Source organism: Homo sapiens, chromosome 11 (genome assembly GCF_000001405.40).
Source record: "Homo sapiens chromosome 11, GRCh38.p14 Primary Assembly".
Lineage (NCBI taxonomy): Eukaryota > Metazoa > Chordata > Mammalia > Primates > Hominidae > Homo > Homo sapiens.
Window position 1 is genome coordinate 22622178 of NC_000011.10, and position 18714 is coordinate 22640891.

General features: G+C 37.6%; 2 protein-coding genes across 4 annotated transcripts in view, besides 7 other annotated features; one reads left to right on the top strand and one right to left on the bottom strand.

The window, feature by feature from the left end:
• On the bottom strand, window positions 356–3646 carry FANCF (FA complementation group F). Its single transcript, NM_022725.4, has one exon. The coding sequence runs from the start codon at window positions 3631–3633 to the stop codon at window positions 2509–2511; it is 1125 nt and encodes a 374-aa protein (NP_073562.1). The 5' UTR covers window positions 3634–3646; the 3' UTR covers window positions 356–2508.
• Window positions 2536–2695: an enhancer, noted in NCBI's record as "active region_4533". NCBI's record gives its function as "activates an Ori minimal core promoter by ATAC-STARR-seq in GM12878 lymphoblastoid cells {active_cell/tissue: GM12878}" and the evidence as "EXISTENCE:reporter gene assay evidence [ECO:0000049][PMID:35858748]".
• Window positions 2706–2755: an enhancer, noted in NCBI's record as "active region_4534". NCBI's record gives its function as "activates an Ori minimal core promoter by ATAC-STARR-seq in GM12878 lymphoblastoid cells {active_cell/tissue: GM12878}" and the evidence as "EXISTENCE:reporter gene assay evidence [ECO:0000049][PMID:35858748]".
• Window positions 3136–3345: an enhancer, noted in NCBI's record as "active region_4535". NCBI's record gives its function as "activates an Ori minimal core promoter by ATAC-STARR-seq in GM12878 lymphoblastoid cells {active_cell/tissue: GM12878}" and the evidence as "EXISTENCE:reporter gene assay evidence [ECO:0000049][PMID:35858748]".
• Window positions 3136–4109: a biological region, named in NCBI's record as "NANOG-H3K27ac hESC enhancer GRCh37_chr11:22646933-22647832".
• Window positions 3210–4109: an enhancer, noted in NCBI's record as "NANOG-H3K27ac hESC enhancer chr11:22646933-22647832 (GRCh37/hg19 assembly coordinates)". NCBI's record gives its function as "activates a minimal SCP1, AML or CMV promoter by ChIP-STARR-seq in primed H9 embryonic stem cells {active_cell/tissue: H9 hESC(primed)}" and the evidence as "EXISTENCE:reporter gene assay evidence [ECO:0000049][PMID:30033119]".
• Window positions 3436–3625: an enhancer, noted in NCBI's record as "active region_4536". NCBI's record gives its function as "activates an Ori minimal core promoter by ATAC-STARR-seq in GM12878 lymphoblastoid cells {active_cell/tissue: GM12878}" and the evidence as "EXISTENCE:reporter gene assay evidence [ECO:0000049][PMID:35858748]".
• Window positions 3825–18714, top strand: part of GAS2 (growth arrest specific 2) — a 187054-nt gene continuing 172164 nt past the window's right edge. For all 3 annotated transcript variants that reach the window (XM_047426745.1, XM_011519972.4, XM_047426746.1), the window contains exon 1: window positions 3825–6216. The gene's annotated coding sequence lies outside the window, so the exon portion shown is untranslated. The remainder of the gene's footprint in view (window positions 6217–18714) is intronic.
• Window positions 12847–13611: an enhancer, noted in NCBI's record as "NANOG-H3K27ac hESC enhancer chr11:22656570-22657334 (GRCh37/hg19 assembly coordinates)". NCBI's record gives its function as "activates a minimal SCP1, AML or CMV promoter by ChIP-STARR-seq in naive H9 embryonic stem cells {active_cell/tissue: H9 hESC(naive)}" and the evidence as "EXISTENCE:reporter gene assay evidence [ECO:0000049][PMID:30033119]".

The following is an 18714-nucleotide window of genomic DNA, read 5'->3' on the forward strand; positions in this document are numbered from 1 at the left end:
CATAGAGAAATCAAAGGAAGTGGAAAGCACAAAATAGGATAGCAGGAAAAAGTCCAATCATACAGTGTTAATATATGACAATGATAATAGAAAAAAATAGACTTTAAAGCAGAAAAGCAGTCACTACAAACAAAAGGTTCAATTCATTAAGATGATATAACGATTCTATATTTGTTTGCATGTCATAAAATTGCTCAAAATACATAAGATGATAATTGATAAAATTTCCTGAAACAATGTTACAATGGGAGATTTCAATAGTGCTCCCTCATTTGATAGGACATAGGGAAAAAACACAAAATAAATATCTCTAGATTTTATAAAGAAGTTATCAAATATTCTATTTTTATAGTCTTCCTCTCACTTTTTTCTCTCTCAGTGTATGCGTAGATTCCTAATCTTTTCAAGTCCTTAAGAGAAAGTATATAAAGCTCTAATGCTGGTTTCATTTATTCAAACACTACAAGTATCTACCATATGCTGGACACTGTGCTAGGCTTCTGGAAATAAAATAAATGACAGATACGGCTTCCACTTTCATGTTGCTTTTGTTTATACCCTTGGGCATTTTACTTAATCTTTTAGCGTATATTCATAAGAATACAGTTTTGGTGTGAAGATTAAATAAGATTATGTATGTAATGAACATATGGAGACTAAAATAACAGAATAATAAATGGTAAGTATAAAATAGATTTTAAAATGTTATTTCTTAAGTCTATTGTCAATCTTTACAATTTTATTGTAAATCATAGTGTGAGATACAGCTGCAAATATAGGGAAGTAAGTTCACAAACTGTTATTTTCTAAAGCTAAAGCTAACATTAGGCCTTGCTATGGTAGAACTCTTCACTGGGTTGTTTCTTAAAAAAAATTCACGCAACTGACAGGAGGAATTGTCTTTATTCTTGCATTAATGATAAATGTAATCTACAAGATGGCCTTCATGGATTAGAAAAAGGAATCAGACCACAAGGAAAAAGAAATTGCTGGTTTTCACTCAAGATTTATCTAGAAAAGTGTACTGACTACTGGAATAATAGTTTACCCCTGGGTTGTACCACAGAATGAGAAATTCTACAAGATTATACAACTCTTTTTCTACAAGATTACACTACTCATATTGTTTTTATTCCATTCCGGAATTAGAAATTAACTTTCTAAATATCATTTTTTTCTCCAAAAAAATCCTCTTACCAGCTAACCTGGATATGGACAAAAATATCTTGATTGCTGTAAAGGTCTATCTCCCTAGTAAAAATGAATAAATTGCCCTTGAATTTATTCAAGGCAATCACTATCAGCTGTGGAACACCCAGGTAAACTAACACAACTAGGTTCCTACACACAAAACAAATATTCTAAACTGTTTCCACAGGGCAGCCACCAAGGGAAAAATAAGGAAATTTAACTATTTTATTCTAAACACTTCATTTACATATAAGGCAACTGTGGCCCCAAGGTTGTGATTTATTAACCTAGTTAACGGCAGAAGCTGCACTAAAACCTGGATCTTCTACTTAAAATGTTGTTTTGGCCAGGCGCGGTGGCTCACGCCTGTAATCCCAGCACTTTGGGAGGCCAAGGCGGACGGATCACAAGGTCAGGTGTTTGAGACCAGCCTGGCCAGCATGGTGAAACCCCGTCTCTACTAAAAATACAAAAAATTAGCCGGGCATGGTGGCCTGCGCCTGTAATCCCAGCTACTTGGGAGGCTGAGTCAGAATTGCTTGATCCTGGGAGGCAGAGGTTGCACTGAGCAGTGATCACACCACTGCACTCCAGTCTGGGTGACAGAGCGAGACTCCATCTCAAAAAAAAAAAAGTTTGATTCTTTTATCATCAAGCATTAATTTAATATCCAAAGGCATATATTCGTATTTACTGTGCTTTAAACATTTGTCTGTGCGTCAATGCTTTAAAGGGACATACTATGTGGTGATTCATTTTCAAAGTAAGAATTTGCAGAAAATGAGAAACAAACTTTCTGAACAATACAATTTTAATGCATACTAAGGCTGGTTAACTGGTTAGAATACTAGGTTAACAAGGCCAAACTCCAGATAGGCCAACAGCTTTTCAAACCAATATTCCTGACACTGCCAGGAATAAAGAAAACTCTTCACTACTGAGGGAGGGACAGAAAACCTAGAAAAATAAACCATACTAAAAGAAAAAGGGTATTTTGTTTGTCACTTTAAAGCTGCTTTTTCTTTAAACGGTACACATATTTTCAACATTCTTACAAATGGGCCTTCTATTAAAAAGCAAACTATTGCTAATTCCATGGCTTTAAGTGGAGTACTTCCAATCACTTCCTCTATCCAGAAAATCCGTGACACTACATGCCAGCTACTTTGCATATTTATAACTGTTTAATAAACTATTCAAAATTAGCATCTAAAATAATTATACTTTGGACACACGAAGGCATATATTTGGTGAGAACATTGTAATTTTCATTTTGTAAACTATATATTCTATATTCAAGTAATAACACAGCATTGCCTATACAGAACTGAGGCCTGCGCTGAGACCCAAAACTTGTCTTTTCCTAAATGCACCACTACGAAGAGCTAATAAGAGGTCTGTCCAGATGCTAAGACCAGGTACTTCAAAATCTCCATCCTGCGCTTTACAGGTCTCCAGGGCAGTTAGAACTTTATCTTTCAGAGGTGGAGGGGCCTGACAGAGGCTTTGAAACCTATTGTGCAACTCCTCCCAGGGCACATCTTGGGACTCAGTTCCAACCCAAATGCCTTTCTGAAGGTCATAGTGCAAACGTTGACCCCAGTCTGTTAGCAGACCCAGATAGACAGGAGACAGCGCTGGGTGGCGGCTAGTCACTAAAGTCAAAAGCCCGGCTGGGAGGGCGCGACAAAAGGCAGCAAAGACTTCCGAATTCCCCAGAAGCCAGTGGACTAGCACTTGGCTCCCCTCTCCAGGTGATTTGTGGATGCCGGGTTCCAACTCTTCTTGGGGCCGACGAGACAAAGGCGGCTGCAACAGCGCCACCGCTATCACCTTCAGGAAGTTGTTCTGAGGCAAGCGCTCCCACAGGCTGCTGAGAAACCTGGCGGGACGCTCCGCTTCGGCCTTCCCCACCTCCTGCAGACGCTCCAGCAGCAGCTCCGCCTGGGTCTTCATCAGAGAGTCCTCCTGGAGATTTGGGTTCTCTCTATAGCCATTGAAGCGCAGCATGTGCACCGCAGACCGCCGGCGGGCAAGGCGGGCCAGGCTCTCTTGGAGTGTCTCCTCATCGGCGTCCCGGACGCCCGGGCCGGGAAAGAGTTGCTGCACCAGGTGGTAACGAGCTGCATCCCCGAGGGCCCGGTTCTCCAGCAGGCGCAGAGAGAGCAGGACGTCACAGTGACCGAGGGCCTGGAAGTTCGCTAATCCCGGAACTGGACCCCGCCCAAAGCCGCCCTCTTGCCTCCACTGGTTGTGCAGCCGCCGCTCCAGAGCCGTGCGAATGGGGCCATGCCGACCAAAGCGCCGATGGATGTGGCGCAGGTAGCGCGCCCACTGCAAGGCCCGGCGCACGGTGGCGGGGTCCCAGGTGCTGACGTAGGTAGTGCTTGAGACCGCCAGAAGCTCGGAAAAGCGATCCAGGTGCTGCAGAAGGGATTCCATGAGGTGCGCGAAGGCCCTACTTCCGCTTTCACCTTGGAGACGGCGACTCTCTGCGTACTGATTGGAACATCCGCGAAATGATACGCCTCTCTGCAATGCTATTGGTCGAAATGCATGTCAATCTCCCAGCGTCTTTATCCGTGTTCCTTGACTCTGGGCAACTTAAAAGCCCTAATACTTTTACTTTCGCCACACAAAGAGGTTCTTCTTAGTGGAGGGAGAGCAGATGTAGGGCATCCTACCGAGAATTTCCGGAACCACGTGCGAGATGATGCCAGTCATGAACGTCTCCGCGCTTCCTTTCGCTTTGGAAATATCCTTAAGTAGAAATTTTCTGAGCTTTGCCTAAAACTAGAATCTGTGTTGAGGTTTTTCAAAATTAAGTAACGCCAGAGACATACTGTGACGTGAGGAAACGCTCTTAAATGAAATTTTAAGATCTATTTGAGAAACATGTACTAAAAATGTACTGACCTCCTATTAATGCCAGGCGCTATGCTGAATTCTGGGCCTTCACATTGTCCTTCCATTATTAGAACTGAAGCCCAGATTATTTGAAACAAAAAATAAACTTCAATAATTTATTAAAATTTGCAAAGGAACAAAATTTTACTTCACAATTGTACATTTCGTTTTCGTAATTTTTAGGACAAAATAGCTTAATTGACTCTTCTGTCATACAAATAATCAGCTGAAGGAAATGGCATTTAAGAGCATCGAACAATAATAAATGTTTGATTAAATAAAAACCGTGACAAGAGAGTAGGGAGGAGAAGGTCCTATGTCGCTCACTGATGCACTTAACAAACATTTGTCAACTCCTAGGAGTTGCATTCTGTACAAAATGCACAACAATTCTTACTTAAGTTCATAATATAGTAATTCATTTGAGCTGAATTTCCTTCCAGTCCTAAAGACACAGCCAAAACTATTCGAAAAGTGGGGGAAGGTGTTTTGTTTTGTACTTTAACAAAAAGGGGAAGAGAAACAAATTTAAAAGAGGGGAAGAGTCATTTTTCATTTATTAAAATAAGCATTCCTACACCTTTTAGAAAGTAAAGCAGTGATGTGCATGCTGTTAATTCAGATTTATGCATTTATTTATTTATTTTGAAACGGAGTCTCATTCTGTCGCCCAGGCGCGGCCAATTTTTGTATTTTTAGTAGAGATGGGATTTCACCTTATTGGTCAGGCTGGTCTCGAACTTCTGACCTCAAGTGATCCTCCCGCCTCGGCCTCCCAAAGTGCTGGGATTAGAGGCGTGTGCCACCGCGCCCGGCTATTATTTGATTTTTATTAGTTATCTCAAACTCTTACTTGGTCCTGAAATCGTTATTTTATTTTATCCTAAGGATACTATGAATCTTAAAATTCTTTTTCTTGGCTACTACAAACTTAGAACCAAGTGTGCAGCCTGCCTTTAGCAAATGTACAGGCATCACTAATTCATTTATTTATTCTTATATTTAACACCTATTATGATACATAGTATGAGGTGCTACAGATTTAGTAGTAAAATAAATGCAGTCCTAGCATGAGTGGAGAAGTTCATCTTGTACCATTTAAGAGAGACATTAAATGAATAACCTCAAATGTGATAGTAGGATGAAATTGAGTGGGGTCACCAAGTCTTAGGGGATAGGAAGGTCTCTTTAATTACTGACTTTTCAGGCCGGAGGCAGTGGCTTATGCCTGTAATCCCAGCACTTTGTGGGGCTGAGGCCAGGCGGGTGGATTACCTGGGGTCAGGAGTTCCAGACCAGCCTGGCCAATATGGCAAAACTCTGTCTCTACTAAACAAACAAACAAAAAAATTAGCTGGGCATGGCGGTGCACACCTGTGATCCTAGCTAATCGGGAGGTTAAGGCAGGAGAATAGCTTGAACCCGGGAGGTGAAGGTTACAGTGAGCTGAGATCGGGCCACTGCACTCCTGCCTGGGTGACACAGCAAGACTCCATCTCAAAAAAAAAAAAAAAGGAAAATGGAAAAAAAAAGGAAAAGAAACCAACTTTTCAGTTGAAAGTTCAAAGCTGAGTGTTCAGAGGAGCCTTCAAGGCTACAGGAATCCTTAATTTTTTTTGCAGGTATCTGAGTTGAAAGAACCAGGCCTATTTAAGGAGGTGGAAAAAATCCAAAAAAGCTTTGATTCAGAATGGGGATGACAGTGTATGGCAAGAATTATGCAGATTAACTTTAGCTTCATACCTTTCTACTTATCTGTTTAAATCTTGATTTTAAATTCTTCCTTGAGCATAGTAACGTATAAACTCCTACATATTTCAGATTAGTCTATTTTCATTAAATAAAATGTCTATGAAGTTTCCCCCTCTAAAGAAAGAAAAGCCTAGCATTTCAACCTATATTCTTGAGGCAGGGTGGGGAGGGATACAAAAACTTAATTATAATGCAAAGCAGATTTTATATATTTTGAAAATTTTAAGAATTTTGCTATGAGAGACTAGATAGAAACTGACAGGAGAGTTCTGGGAAGACTACAGAGGACTGATACTTGATTTAGGCCTCAAAGTGTTTGAACAATCATGGGACAGAAGAAAATCCAAGTGAGAGAAATAATATAAGGTAAAATATATGAGAACACAAATGTGTGTACTGTGTGCCATGAATACCAGGAACAATCTCCCTCCTCTTGGTTTTGATCCCCAAATTCCTGGGATACAGTAAATTGGGAAAGAAAAAGGCCAAATTTCAGCAGATTTTATTTTTATTTATTTATTTTGATTTTTTTCTGTTCTTTGGTGAAGTTTTCAAATATTGTAGCTCATAAAACTTTCTTGTCGTCTTTTCATTGCTTTAACAGAATTTTTTTTTTATTTCAATAGCTTTAAGGGTACAAGTGGATTTTGGTTACTTGGATGAATTTCAGTGTGGTGAAGCCTGAGATTTTAGTTCACCCTCTAACTGAGTAGTGTACGTTGTACCCAACATGTAGATTTTTATCCCTCACCCCATCCCACCTCCCCTGCTTCCAAGTTTCCAGTGTCCATTATACCACTCTGTCTGCCTTTGCATACCCATAGCTTAGCTCCCACTTCCAAGTGAGAACATGCAGTGTTAGGTTTTCCATTCCTGAGTTACTTCACTTAGAATAATGGCCTCCAGTTCCACCCAAGTGGCTGCAAAATATATTATTTCATTCTTTTTATGGCTGAGTAGTATTCCATGGTATGTGTGTGTGTGTGTGTATGTATGTATGCATGTGTGTATATATATATATAACTTTTTTATCCACTTTTCAATTGATGGGCCCTTATGTTGGTTCCGTATCTTTGCAATTGTGAATTATGCTGTGATAAACATATACATGCAAGTGTCTTTCTGATATAATGACTTCTTTTCTTTGGGGTAGATACTCAGTAGTGGGATTGCTGGATCAAATGTAGCTCTACATTTAGTTCTTTGAGACGTCTCCATACTGTTTTCCATAGAGGTTATACTGGTTTGCATTCCCACCAACAGTGTATAAGCATTGCCTTTTCACCACATCCGTGCCAGCATCTATTGTTTTTTGACTTTTTAATAATGACCATTCTGGCCAGGGTAAGGTAGTATCCTTTTCCATAGAGGCTGTACTGGTTTGGATTCCCACCAACAGTGTATAAGCATTCCCTTTTCACTACATCCATGCCAACATCTATTGTTCTTTGACTTTTTAATAATGACCATTCTGGCTGGGGTAAGGTGGTATCCCATTGTGGTTTTAATTTGCATTTCCCTGATAATTAGGGATGTTGAGTATTTTTTCATACATTTGTTGGCCATTTCTGTATCTTCTCTTGAGAAATGTGTATTCATGTCATTTGCTCACTTCTTAATGGGATTATTGGTTTTTTTTTCTTGCTGGTTTCTGTGAGTTCCTTGTAGATTCTAGATATTTGTCCTTTATCTGATGTATATTTTGCAAATATTTTCTCCCATTCTGTGAGTTGTCTGTTTGCTCTGATGAATATTTCATTTGCTATGCAGAAGCTTTTTAGTTTAATTAAGTCTCACTTATTTATTTTTGTTTTTGTTGCATTTGCTTTTGGGGTCTTAGTCATGAATCTTTGCCTCGGTCAGTGTCCAGAAGAGTTTTTCCTAAGTTTTCGTCTAGAATTTTTATGGTTTCAGGTCTTAAATTTATGTCTTTAATACATCTTGAGTTGATTTTTCTTAAATGATGAGAGATAGGGATCCAGTTTCATTCTTCTACATAGGGCTATCCAGTTTTCCTCACACCATTTTTTTTTATTATACTGTAAGCTCTAGGGTACATGTGCACAATGTGCAGGTTTGTTACATATGTATACATGTGCCATGTTGGTGTGCTGCACCCATTAACTCATCATTTACATTAGGTATATCTCCTAATGCTTTCCCTTGACCCTTCCCCCACCCCACAACAGGCCCTGGTGTGTGATGTTCCCCTTCCTGTGTCCAAGTGTTCTCATTGTTCAGTTCCCACCTATGAGTGAGAACATGTGATGTTTGGTTTTTTGTTCTTGCGCTAGTTTGCTGAGAATGATGGTTTCCAGCTTCATCCGTGTCCCTACAAATACCATTCAGGACATAGGCATGGGCAAGAACTTCATGTCTAAAACACCAAAAACAATGGCAACAAAAGCCAAAATTGACAAATGGGATCTACTTAAACTAAGGAGCTTCTGCACAGCAAAAGAAACTACCATCCAGAGTGAACAGGCAACCTGTAGAAGGGGAGAAAATTTTTGCAGTCTACTCATCTGACAAAGGGCTAATATCCAGAATCTACAAAGAACTCCCCACACCATTAAATAAGGTGTCCTTTTGCCAATTTATGTTTTTGTATGCTTTGTCAAAGATCAGTTGATTGTAAGTATTTGGCTTTATTTCTGAGTTCTCTATTCTCTTCCATTGGTCTATATATCTACTTTTATACCAGTGTCATGCTGCTTTGCTTACTATAACCTTGTAGAATTTGATGTTGAGTAATGTGATGCCTCTAGATTTGTTCTTTTTGCTTAGGATTGCTTTGGCTGTTTTTTTGGTTCCATATGAATTTTATGATTGCTTGTTCTAATTCTGTGAAAGATAATGTTAGTATTTTAATAGGAACTGCATTGAATCTGTGTATTGCTTTGGGCAGTATGGTCATTATCATAATATTGATTCTTCCAGGCCATGAGCATGAGGTGTATTTCCATTTGTTTGTGTCATCTATGATATCTTTCAGCAGTGTTTTGTAGTTCTCCTTGTAGAGATCTTTCCTCTTCTTTGTTAAGTAAATTCCTAGGTGATTTATTTTTCTGCAGCTACTGTAAAAGGGATTGAGTTCTTGATTTTATTCTCAGCTTGGACACTATTGGTGTAAAGCAGTGTACATTGTGTTTGGAACTTGAGACTTTACTAAATTCATTTATCAAATCTAGGAGTCTTTTGGAGAAGTCTTTGGGGTTTCCTAGGTATATTATCGCATCATCAGCAAACAGAGATAGTTTGACTCCTTTTTTTCCAATTTGGGTACCCTTTATTTATTTATTATTTCTCTTGCTTGAGTGCTCTGGCTAGGACTTCCGATGCTGTGTTGAATAGAAGTGATGAAAGTGGACATCTTTGTCTCGTTCCAATTCTTAGGGGGAATGCTTCAACATGAATGTTGGCTTTGGGTTTGTTATATATGGCTTTTATTATTTTGAGGTATGTTTCCTCTGTGCTTAGTTTGTTGAGGTTTATGTCATAAAGGGATGCTGGATTTTATTGATTGCTTTATCTGCATCTATTGAGATAATCATATGGCTATTGCTTTAATTCTGTTTGTGTGATGAACCACATTTTTTGACTTGCATATGTTGAGCCATTGATTCATCCCTGGGATGAATACCACTTGATCATGATGAATTATCTTTTTGATGTGCTGTTGGATTCAGTTTGCTAGTATTTTGTTGAATTTTTTTTTTATCTGTTCATCAGAGATATTGGTCTGTAATTTTCCTTTTTGTTATGTCTTTTCCTGGCTTTGGTTTCAGGGTGATACTGTCTTCATATGATATAGGGAGGATTCCCTCTTTCTCAATCTTTTGCAATAGTTTCAGTAGGATTGTTACCAGTTCTCTGAATGTCTCGTAAAATTTGGCTGTGAATCCATCTGGCCCTGGACTTTTTTTTTTTTTTTTTTTTTGACAAATTTTGTATTACTGATTCAATCTCACTGCTTATGATTGGCTTATTCAGGATTTTTATGTCTTCATGATTCAATCTAGGAGGGTTGTGTGTTTCAAGAAATGTATTCATTTTCTCTAGATTTTCTAGTTTGTTTGCAAAGAGGTGTTCTTCGTAGTCTTGAAGGATATTTTTTATTTCTTTGGGGTTGGTTGTAACATCTCCATTTTCATTTCTAATTTAGCTTATTTGGATCTTCTCTCTTCTTTTCTTGGTTAAACTAGCTAATAGTCAAACAGTGACATATTCCCTTAGCATTTGCTTGTCTGAGAAACAGTTTATTTTTCCTTCATTTATGAAACTTAGCTTTACTGGATACAAAATTGTTGGCTGATAGTTATTCTGTTTAAGGAGGCTAAAATAGGACCATAGCCCTTTCTGGCTTATAAGGCTTCTGCTGAGAAGTCTGCTGTTAGTCTAAAAGGTTTTACCTTGTAGGTTACCTGATGCTTTTTTCACACTGCTCTTGGAATTCTTTTCTTCACATTGATTTTAGATAGCCTGATGACTTTAGCTCTTGGTGTTGGCCTTTTTGCAATGCATTTCCCAGGAGTTGTTTGAGGTTTTTGTATTTGAATATCTAAATTGCTGGCAAAGCCAGGGAAGTTTTCCTTAATTATTCCCTCAAATAAATAAGTTTTCAAAACTTTTTGCTTTTTCTTCCCACTCAGGAGCATCAATAATTCTTAGGTTGGCCCTTTTACATAATCCCATGTTTCTTAGAGATTTTATTCGTTTCTTTTCATTCTTTTTTTTTTTATTTTTGTGTGATTGGGTTAATTCAAAAACCTTGTTTTCAAGTTCTGGAATTCTTTATTCCACATGGTCTAGTCTAATGTTAAAACTTTTCCCTGCATTTCGTAATTCCCTAAATGTGTCTTTTGTTTCCAGAGTTCTGATTTTTTTTTTCTTTAAAATATCAATCTGTTTAGGAAATCTTTCATTCATAACCTGATTTTCTTTTACATTTTATTGTGTTGTTTTTCACCTTTTTCTTGTATTTCCTTGAGGAACTTAATAATCAACCTCTTGAACTCTTTATCTGGTATTTTAAAGATTTCATCTTAGTTTGGATCCATCGCTGGAGAGTCAGTGGAATCTTTGTGGTGTTATAGAATCATGTTTTTACATATTGCTAGAGTTGTTTTTCTGATTTCTTCTCATTTGGGTAGACCATTTCTTCTAATTACTTCTTGAATTTATTTTTTATTCAAATGTGGTTTTTCAATTTCTGTTTTTCCCTCTTGAGGATATGACTGTAATGTTTATAGTTTATTTTAGCCTATTTCAGCTCTTGGTGTTTTCAGTGATGAAGAATCTGTGTGAAACATCTGTATGAACTCCTTGGTGTGATGGCCTTCTCAGATGCTGGTTATAGTAGCAATGTGCTCAGTGTGTGAGCAGGTTTACTGTCTCCTATGGGGCCAGAATGACAAAGATGTCACAAAGCTTATTTTGTTCCCCAGTGGTGTACATTAATTCATTAATTAATTTATTTATTTTCCCAGTATTTTATTCACTGGGTTGAACAGTTCAGGCTTCAGGCCAGTAGGAGGTGTTCATGGGTAAAAACAGGCTGCAGCTAAAGCAGGTGTGGAATGCAATATCCAGTGATGGGCAGAGGTCCTAACCTTGACAGAGGCAGCTGGAGAAGCTTTCAGTGAAATGCACTAAGGTCTTTTCAGGGTGAAGGGAGGAGCCACTGTAGTTCCCCAACCAGGCCAGCAGGAAAGTGATCCAACTCCCAGTCACACTCCTGACCCAGTGTTCTAGCTATTCAGATGAGACAGGCATCCCTTTTCTTCTGTAGGAATGGTGATGTTACATGTAGAAAAGGACTATGACTCTATCCCTCATGTAAGTCTGCACCTGGAGGGCACTCCTCCTGTGGGGATGCAGTCACCCGAAAGTGTTCCAGGAAGCCTCTCTACATGTGTACCCATGCCAAGCTCTTGTGGGAGAAGCCACAGCTATGTTTGCAGTGATGGGCAAGAGGAAGTGTATTAGTCTGTTTTCAAACTGCTGAGGAAGACATACCCAAGACTGGGCAATTTATAAAGAAAAGAGGTTTAGTTGATTCACAGTTCCACGTGGCTGGGGAGGCCTCACATTCATGGCGGAACATGAAGGAAGAGCAAAGGGATGTCTTACACAGTGGCCAGCAAAGAGAGAATGAGAGCCAAGTGAAAGGGGTTTCCGCTTATAAAACCATCAGATCTTGTGATACTTAGTCACTACCATGAGAACATAATGGGGGAAACTGCTCCCATGATTCAGTTATCTCCCACTGGGTTCCTCCCACAACATGTGGGAATTATGGGAGCTACAATTCAAGATAAGATTTGGGTGGGGACACAACCAAACCATATCAGGAAGAAAAAGTCTTCTTCCCCAGGTTCCTTCATGAGCACCAGGGCTAGCTGACAGTTGGAGTAGAGGCACAAACTTTCTCCACTGAGCCCCACACTGCACCTGTTGTGCCTTTGCTGAAATAAACTCCCCACAAATAGACAGTTTTGGGACTCAAGGCCTGCAGTCTGGATTCTTTGGTCTCACGGGGTGCTCCCTTGATGTGGTATATTCCCACTTCCCCTAGGAGGAGGGATCCCTGAGGGCCAAACTACTGTGAATCCTGCTGCTGCTCTTCTGATTCTAGCCACCCAGTGGGGCTGCCATTCTCCAGGATGGTGCTGGGGAATGTCTGGAAGGGATCCAGTGATAGGACCTGTTCTCTAATCTCACAGTAGTGGGTACCAGCAGAAGTTCTGATGGGGGTGGCAGGGGAGTGATGTAGACTCTGTGAGATTTTCTTGGTTGTGAGATTTTCTTGGTTATAAATGGCCTTAATGTGTTGCTATTCTCAAATGCCAGCTGTAGTAGTAATATGCTGGTCACGTGAATAGACTCAAGACCTCCTGGTTAGCCAGAGTGATGCCCACAATGGTGCTAACTGAGGTCATCCAAAAGTTTTCTCCTTCAGGGGAGCTGTGTTTTTGTGCCAACAGATGCTGTAATGGACTGTGTCAGTTGGCCTCCAGCCAGGAGGCGGTGCTTGCAAAAGAGTGTCAGCTGCAGTGATAGTGATGGGATTTGTGCTCCTCTTATGTTACCCAGGGTAGGTACTCTGGTGTCTCAGGCAATGGGCAGAGTCATAGGACTTCCCAAAGTCCCTGCCCTTTGTGTTAAGATACTAGGGTAGATGGAGGTGCAAAGCCAGGTGGTGGCTGGATCAATCAAGTCCCACACTATGGCCTCCCACATGCCAGCATAAGCAGCAGCTCTAGTGGAGATCAAAGGGCAGTTCTGTGGCTTCTGAGGGAACATTCCAGGGAGGAGCACAGCTGCCTTTGTTGTGCAGAAGAATCCATATGGTGAGCAGGGGTAGTACATAGCAGTAGGCCTCACCTGGCCCCTACACACTTGTTAAGGCACATCTCACACCTGCAGTGTTCCACTTGCAGCAGCTAAGTGGGTTCCAGATAGCCTGTGCTCAGCACTCAAAACTGCCCCAGGCCATAAGCCTTCCCTACCAAGACAGTAAAGGTGGCTTTCAAGCCACACCCCTCCCTGTCGGCCTGCAGACCTGGAGTGCCCAGGTCCTGCACCTGTGGCTTATAGTACTTCCCACTTGTCTCAGTTCTCACCAAAGTGGTTCATCCCTGTTCAAGATTATATTGTGAATCTCCACTGGGAGCTTCTTTCAACCTGTGACTGCTGCCTAAGTTAACTGACTGACTTCTGTGAGGTAGGATTTGGAATGGCTTTCCTCTGTCCCCGGTGGAGTCTGGGAGTGCATGCAAAGCATGTGCTGATGCTGCTCCTTCTCATATACTCTTTACCACTCACTAAATCAGCTCCAGTGCTAGATAGGGTTAAGACCTTCCTCCATGGCCTGGGGCAGGTTCCCCAATGGGAGTATATATCATGGAGGCAGTCTCTCACCACTCACACTCTGGGGACTCACAGTTTTCTGCCTGGCTTATGGATATACCATGGAGGCAATCTCTCCCCACTCACACTCTGGGGACTCAGTTTTCCACCTGGCTTAGGGTGTAGGTTGCTGCCCACTGCTTCTTTCAAAGGGTCTATGTTTTTGTTTGTTTGTTTTTTGTTTTTTTCAGTTTTCCTGTTAAATTCCTGTGTTGCTTCTTGGAGAAAAGTTCACAGCATGAATCTCTACACAGTATTTTGTCTTTCTAAGTGGGAGAGACATGCTAACAATGCCTCCAATCCACCATTCTGCAAAAACAGGAGGTTGTATTAAATTAAGATGTCATTCAAACCATGGGAGTTAGGCAACACAAACAACTAAGGATCAGGAAAAGACGCTTTCACAAACAACCTACCTCACGGGCCCTGGTAAGGATTAAATGGGGTAACAAATATAAAATGCCACAGATATAAAATTGTGGCTGTCTTTTAATATGAATTCTACCACTTACCCTCCCACATTGCATAACAGCCATGCAATTTGGGATACTGATCACAGCTCAGCTCAACTGATGGATTTGATCATTTTGAGCCAATCATGTTAATTCAATCCCCTTCTAATTCAGTAATTAATTTAGGAACCCAGCCTTAAGCCTATCAATGTATAACATTCTCTAATGACAGAAATTTGTTCAGAAATATCCATATGAATTAATGTTAATCAATTAGGCCTAGAGGATCTAGTGAAAACTTTTATGACTTTCTTACTTTAGTGTCAATAGATGAACATTAATTAATTTTAAGTTAGCCATAAGAGAACGTTAGAGTGTACAGGCTTAATATCAAACATACTACTTTCTCTCTTCCTCTTTATATAAAGATATAGGTATATATATGTCTAGTAAGTATATACAAATATATAACATTATTTTAAATGAAAATTTATATTACCTATTTATATTATTTAAATATAATATAAAATATTTATATTAATAATATAAATAATAATAAATTGTTACTATTAATGATATTTATATCAATAGTACATTTAACTATAATATAAATATTTATATTATTATATATTATATATTCTGGTTATCTATTATAATTGATATAATATTATTATATTAATATTATATTAATATAATAAGTAATATTGTATTACATTATATTAATATAATATTACTTATATTAATATTATATCAATATATTACTTATGTTAATATTATATTAATATATTACTTATGTTAATATTATATTAATATATTACTTATGTTAATAGTATACTAATATAATATTAATTATATTAATAGTATACTAATATATTAATTATATTAATAGTATACTAATATAATATTAATTATATTAATAGTATACTAATATAATATTAATTATATTAATAGTATACTAATATAATATTAATTATATTAATAGTATACTAATATAATATTAATTATATTAATAGTATACTTAATATAATATTAATTATATTAATAGTATACTTAATATAATATTAATTATATTAATAGTATACTTAATATAATATTAATTATATTAATAGTATACTTAATATAATATTAATTATATTAATAGTATACTTAATATAATATTAATTATATTAATAGTATACTTAATATAATATTAATTATATTAATAGTATACTTAATATAATATTAATTATATTAATATTTAATATAAATATTTATATATTATTGATATAATATAAAATAAATATTTATATTATATCAATAATAATATAATATAAATATATAATCATGTATTTATAGTAATAATAATTATTTATATTTAAATGTAAATTAATTTATATTTATATATTATTCATATATGTAAACTATATATTTATGTATAAATTGTATATATTTTATATATATTTGAAGCCCAAAGCTGCCACAGATATCTCCTTCCCCAAACCAAGAAAATCTCAGAATCACAAATAAAAATTGGATTAAGACAGACCTTAAACAAAACCTGTTTAGAATTATGTAACCTTACATATATTCCCACTTTTTCTTTTTCCAGTTTCAGTTTTACTTTCTGTTGCTTTCATCTAAATGCACCCAACTAATATAAGCCCTTTGGAATACTGTGTGGTGCAAATACTCAATGAACATTGGCTATTGTTATTAATATTATATAAGCCTCCAAATTATACATCTTCCCATGTCTTCTCCCTATTCCACCACTTCCAAATATAAAACGGCAACCACTAACATCTTTATGGGCTGTGGTGGAGGAAATGTTATAAAAGACACAACTTGCTGCTGCAACATGTACTCTTGGTCCTGAGAGGTTCCTAATAAAATCTTGTCCAATGGAATATTAAGAATTGAAAACTTAAGTTGATTTCATTCTCTACATTGGATCTAAGTTTTGTTGTTATTATTACAATTTTTTTTTTTTTTTTGAGACAGACTCTCACTGTGTTGCCCAGGCTGGAGTGCAGTGGCGTGATCTCGGCTCACTGCAGCCTTTGTCTCCCAGGTTCAAGCGATTCTCCTGCCTCAGCCTCCGAAGTAGCTAGGATTACAGGCACTTGGCACCACACCCAGCTAATTTTTGTATTTTTAGTGGAGACAGGGTTTTACCATGTTGGCCAGGTTGGTCTGGAACTACTGACCTCAAATGATCCTCCTGCCTCAGCCTCTCAAAGTGCTGGGATTACAGGCATGAGCCGTTGCACGCAGCTTGCTATTATTTTAAGATATGCAAGAAATTATAGGACACTATGCAACTGATGGACCAATGAAAACAAGTTATTCTGATGTTTTATTTTTACTCTGAACAATATTATATTCAAGGACATGCACACCAATTACAGCTCTCTGCTTGATGAAATAATATTTCTTTATATGAACAAGTAGAATTGGACTCCACATCTTCAGACAAGGCAGTCATAGAGGGTTTTTTCCTCATCCAGAAATCTACTTTTTGGGAAATTTTTTGATCTATTGGCAATCACTCTGAGGGCAAATATTATGGGTAGTGATTATACTGATCCCAACTCCACTCCACTACCTCACTCAAGTCAGGGATAAGGGTAGGTCTTTTTATATACTTTAGTGGCAACTATAAAGAGCAAGCTGGAACAATTGTTTTATAGAGATTTCTAGTAGAAACTTTGCAAACATGTTTGCCATGTTTGTGGTATTGCAAACTGTCTTTCTGGAAAAAAGGGTTCCATATTGCTATAGTTTGAATATCCTCTCCAAAACTCATGTGAAATTTAATTGCCAATATAATAGTATTGGAAGGGAAGGCTGTTAACAGGTTATTAAGTCACACAGGCTTTGTCCTCATATGATATTGAGTAAATGGTTAGTTAGCCCAGGAGTAGGTTTCAGATAAAAATAAGCATAGATTGATTTCCTCTCTCTCTTGCTGTCTTTCACCATGTGTTGCCTTCTGCCATGTTTTGAAGCAGCAAGAAGGTCCTCACCTTGGACTCCCCAGCCTCCATGAGCCAAATAAATATCCTTTCTTTCTAAATTACCAGTCTGTGGTATTCTGTTATAGCAGCAGAAAATGGACTGAAACATAGATCTTAGTGGTATTTACTTGTAAAATCACGATTTCTTCATTTCATTGGTTTCCCTTACAAAAGGGGAAAATCGTCAAATGAATTGTAATGGATAGAAGACTTTATGCATGTAAAATCTGATGATTAGGTTTTCAGTCGTGCATCCTATGATATTATAACTGTTCCCTGATCAAACTATAAACGCCATACTAAATCTTAAAAAATATTAAATTTATGTTTTAATGGGGAAAACACACTAGGTTTACCTTTCCTACCATTAGAATTATTTTCAGTAGGCCATAATAGACTGTAACTAGATAAAATTTTTTCTGGGTCCTGAGCATTCTACTTAGTGTACAGCAGAAAGGGTTACAAGTGTATGCCTGAGATACCGATCTCCTTTGCCTTTGGGGCATATGAATGAGGTCTGGGAAGTGAGTGTCATTACTGAGATGGAAAGAGGTCTGATAATCCATCCTGTGGTCTTCTTTAGATATTCATTACCACCTGGACATCTATACACTAGCTAGAATGGGCATACATTGTAATCCATCATAGACAAAGGGCCCATGAAGTTAGTGGAAGAATTTCAGATGTCCAAGAAGGACATAACAGAACCTAATGAATTCAGAGGAAGGTAGTGGAGGAGGAATTAAAAGATAGAGTTTCCTTGCGGGCACAGATCTAAATGTTGCCCACAAATCTGTTTTCACAAATTTGAGATGTGTCTTTTTAGTTGCAGTGGGTGTGGCTTTAAGTGGCCTTAAAGCCAGCAGCAGAAAGACCGTAACATGTAATAATAGATGTAACAATGTATGTATATTCTACAAATTAGAGCTTCATCAACACTTTGAAATTTGTGATATGGAAAATGTTGTTTGAATTTAAAATTTATTTGCATAATCATAGTAATGTTTAACATTTTATTGCCTTAAGGATAGAAAAGAGCTTTTATTTAAATATAATTTCATTTCTTATAAACTTTGAATGGCTTTATTGACATTCACAAAATAATTTTACCTATTTTATCAACAACATTTCTCCATGAGAGTCAATGGAGATTCTCAAGCATATAAAGAGAACTTATTTAAAAGTCTTGATCAGGAATTGCAACTGACCATTTCAAACATAAAAGCCAATGTAAAAAAATTACATTCATGAAGCAAGCTTAATTTCTCTCTTAAAAAATGAGAATTTTAAATGTTAGGAATTTTTATATAAATTGAATGTTTAATCACCTGTATTCATATTATCATACAAAGCAAGTGCAAAAGAAATTTTTTCACCACGTATGTATATATGCCTTTTAAATGCTCTTTGGTTGACTGCCTATGCTTTGGTCTGAAAAAGTTTGTGAATTACTGCTCTAACACAGGCATTCTAACACTATTAGCTAAGAAAAGGGGGCAAAAGAA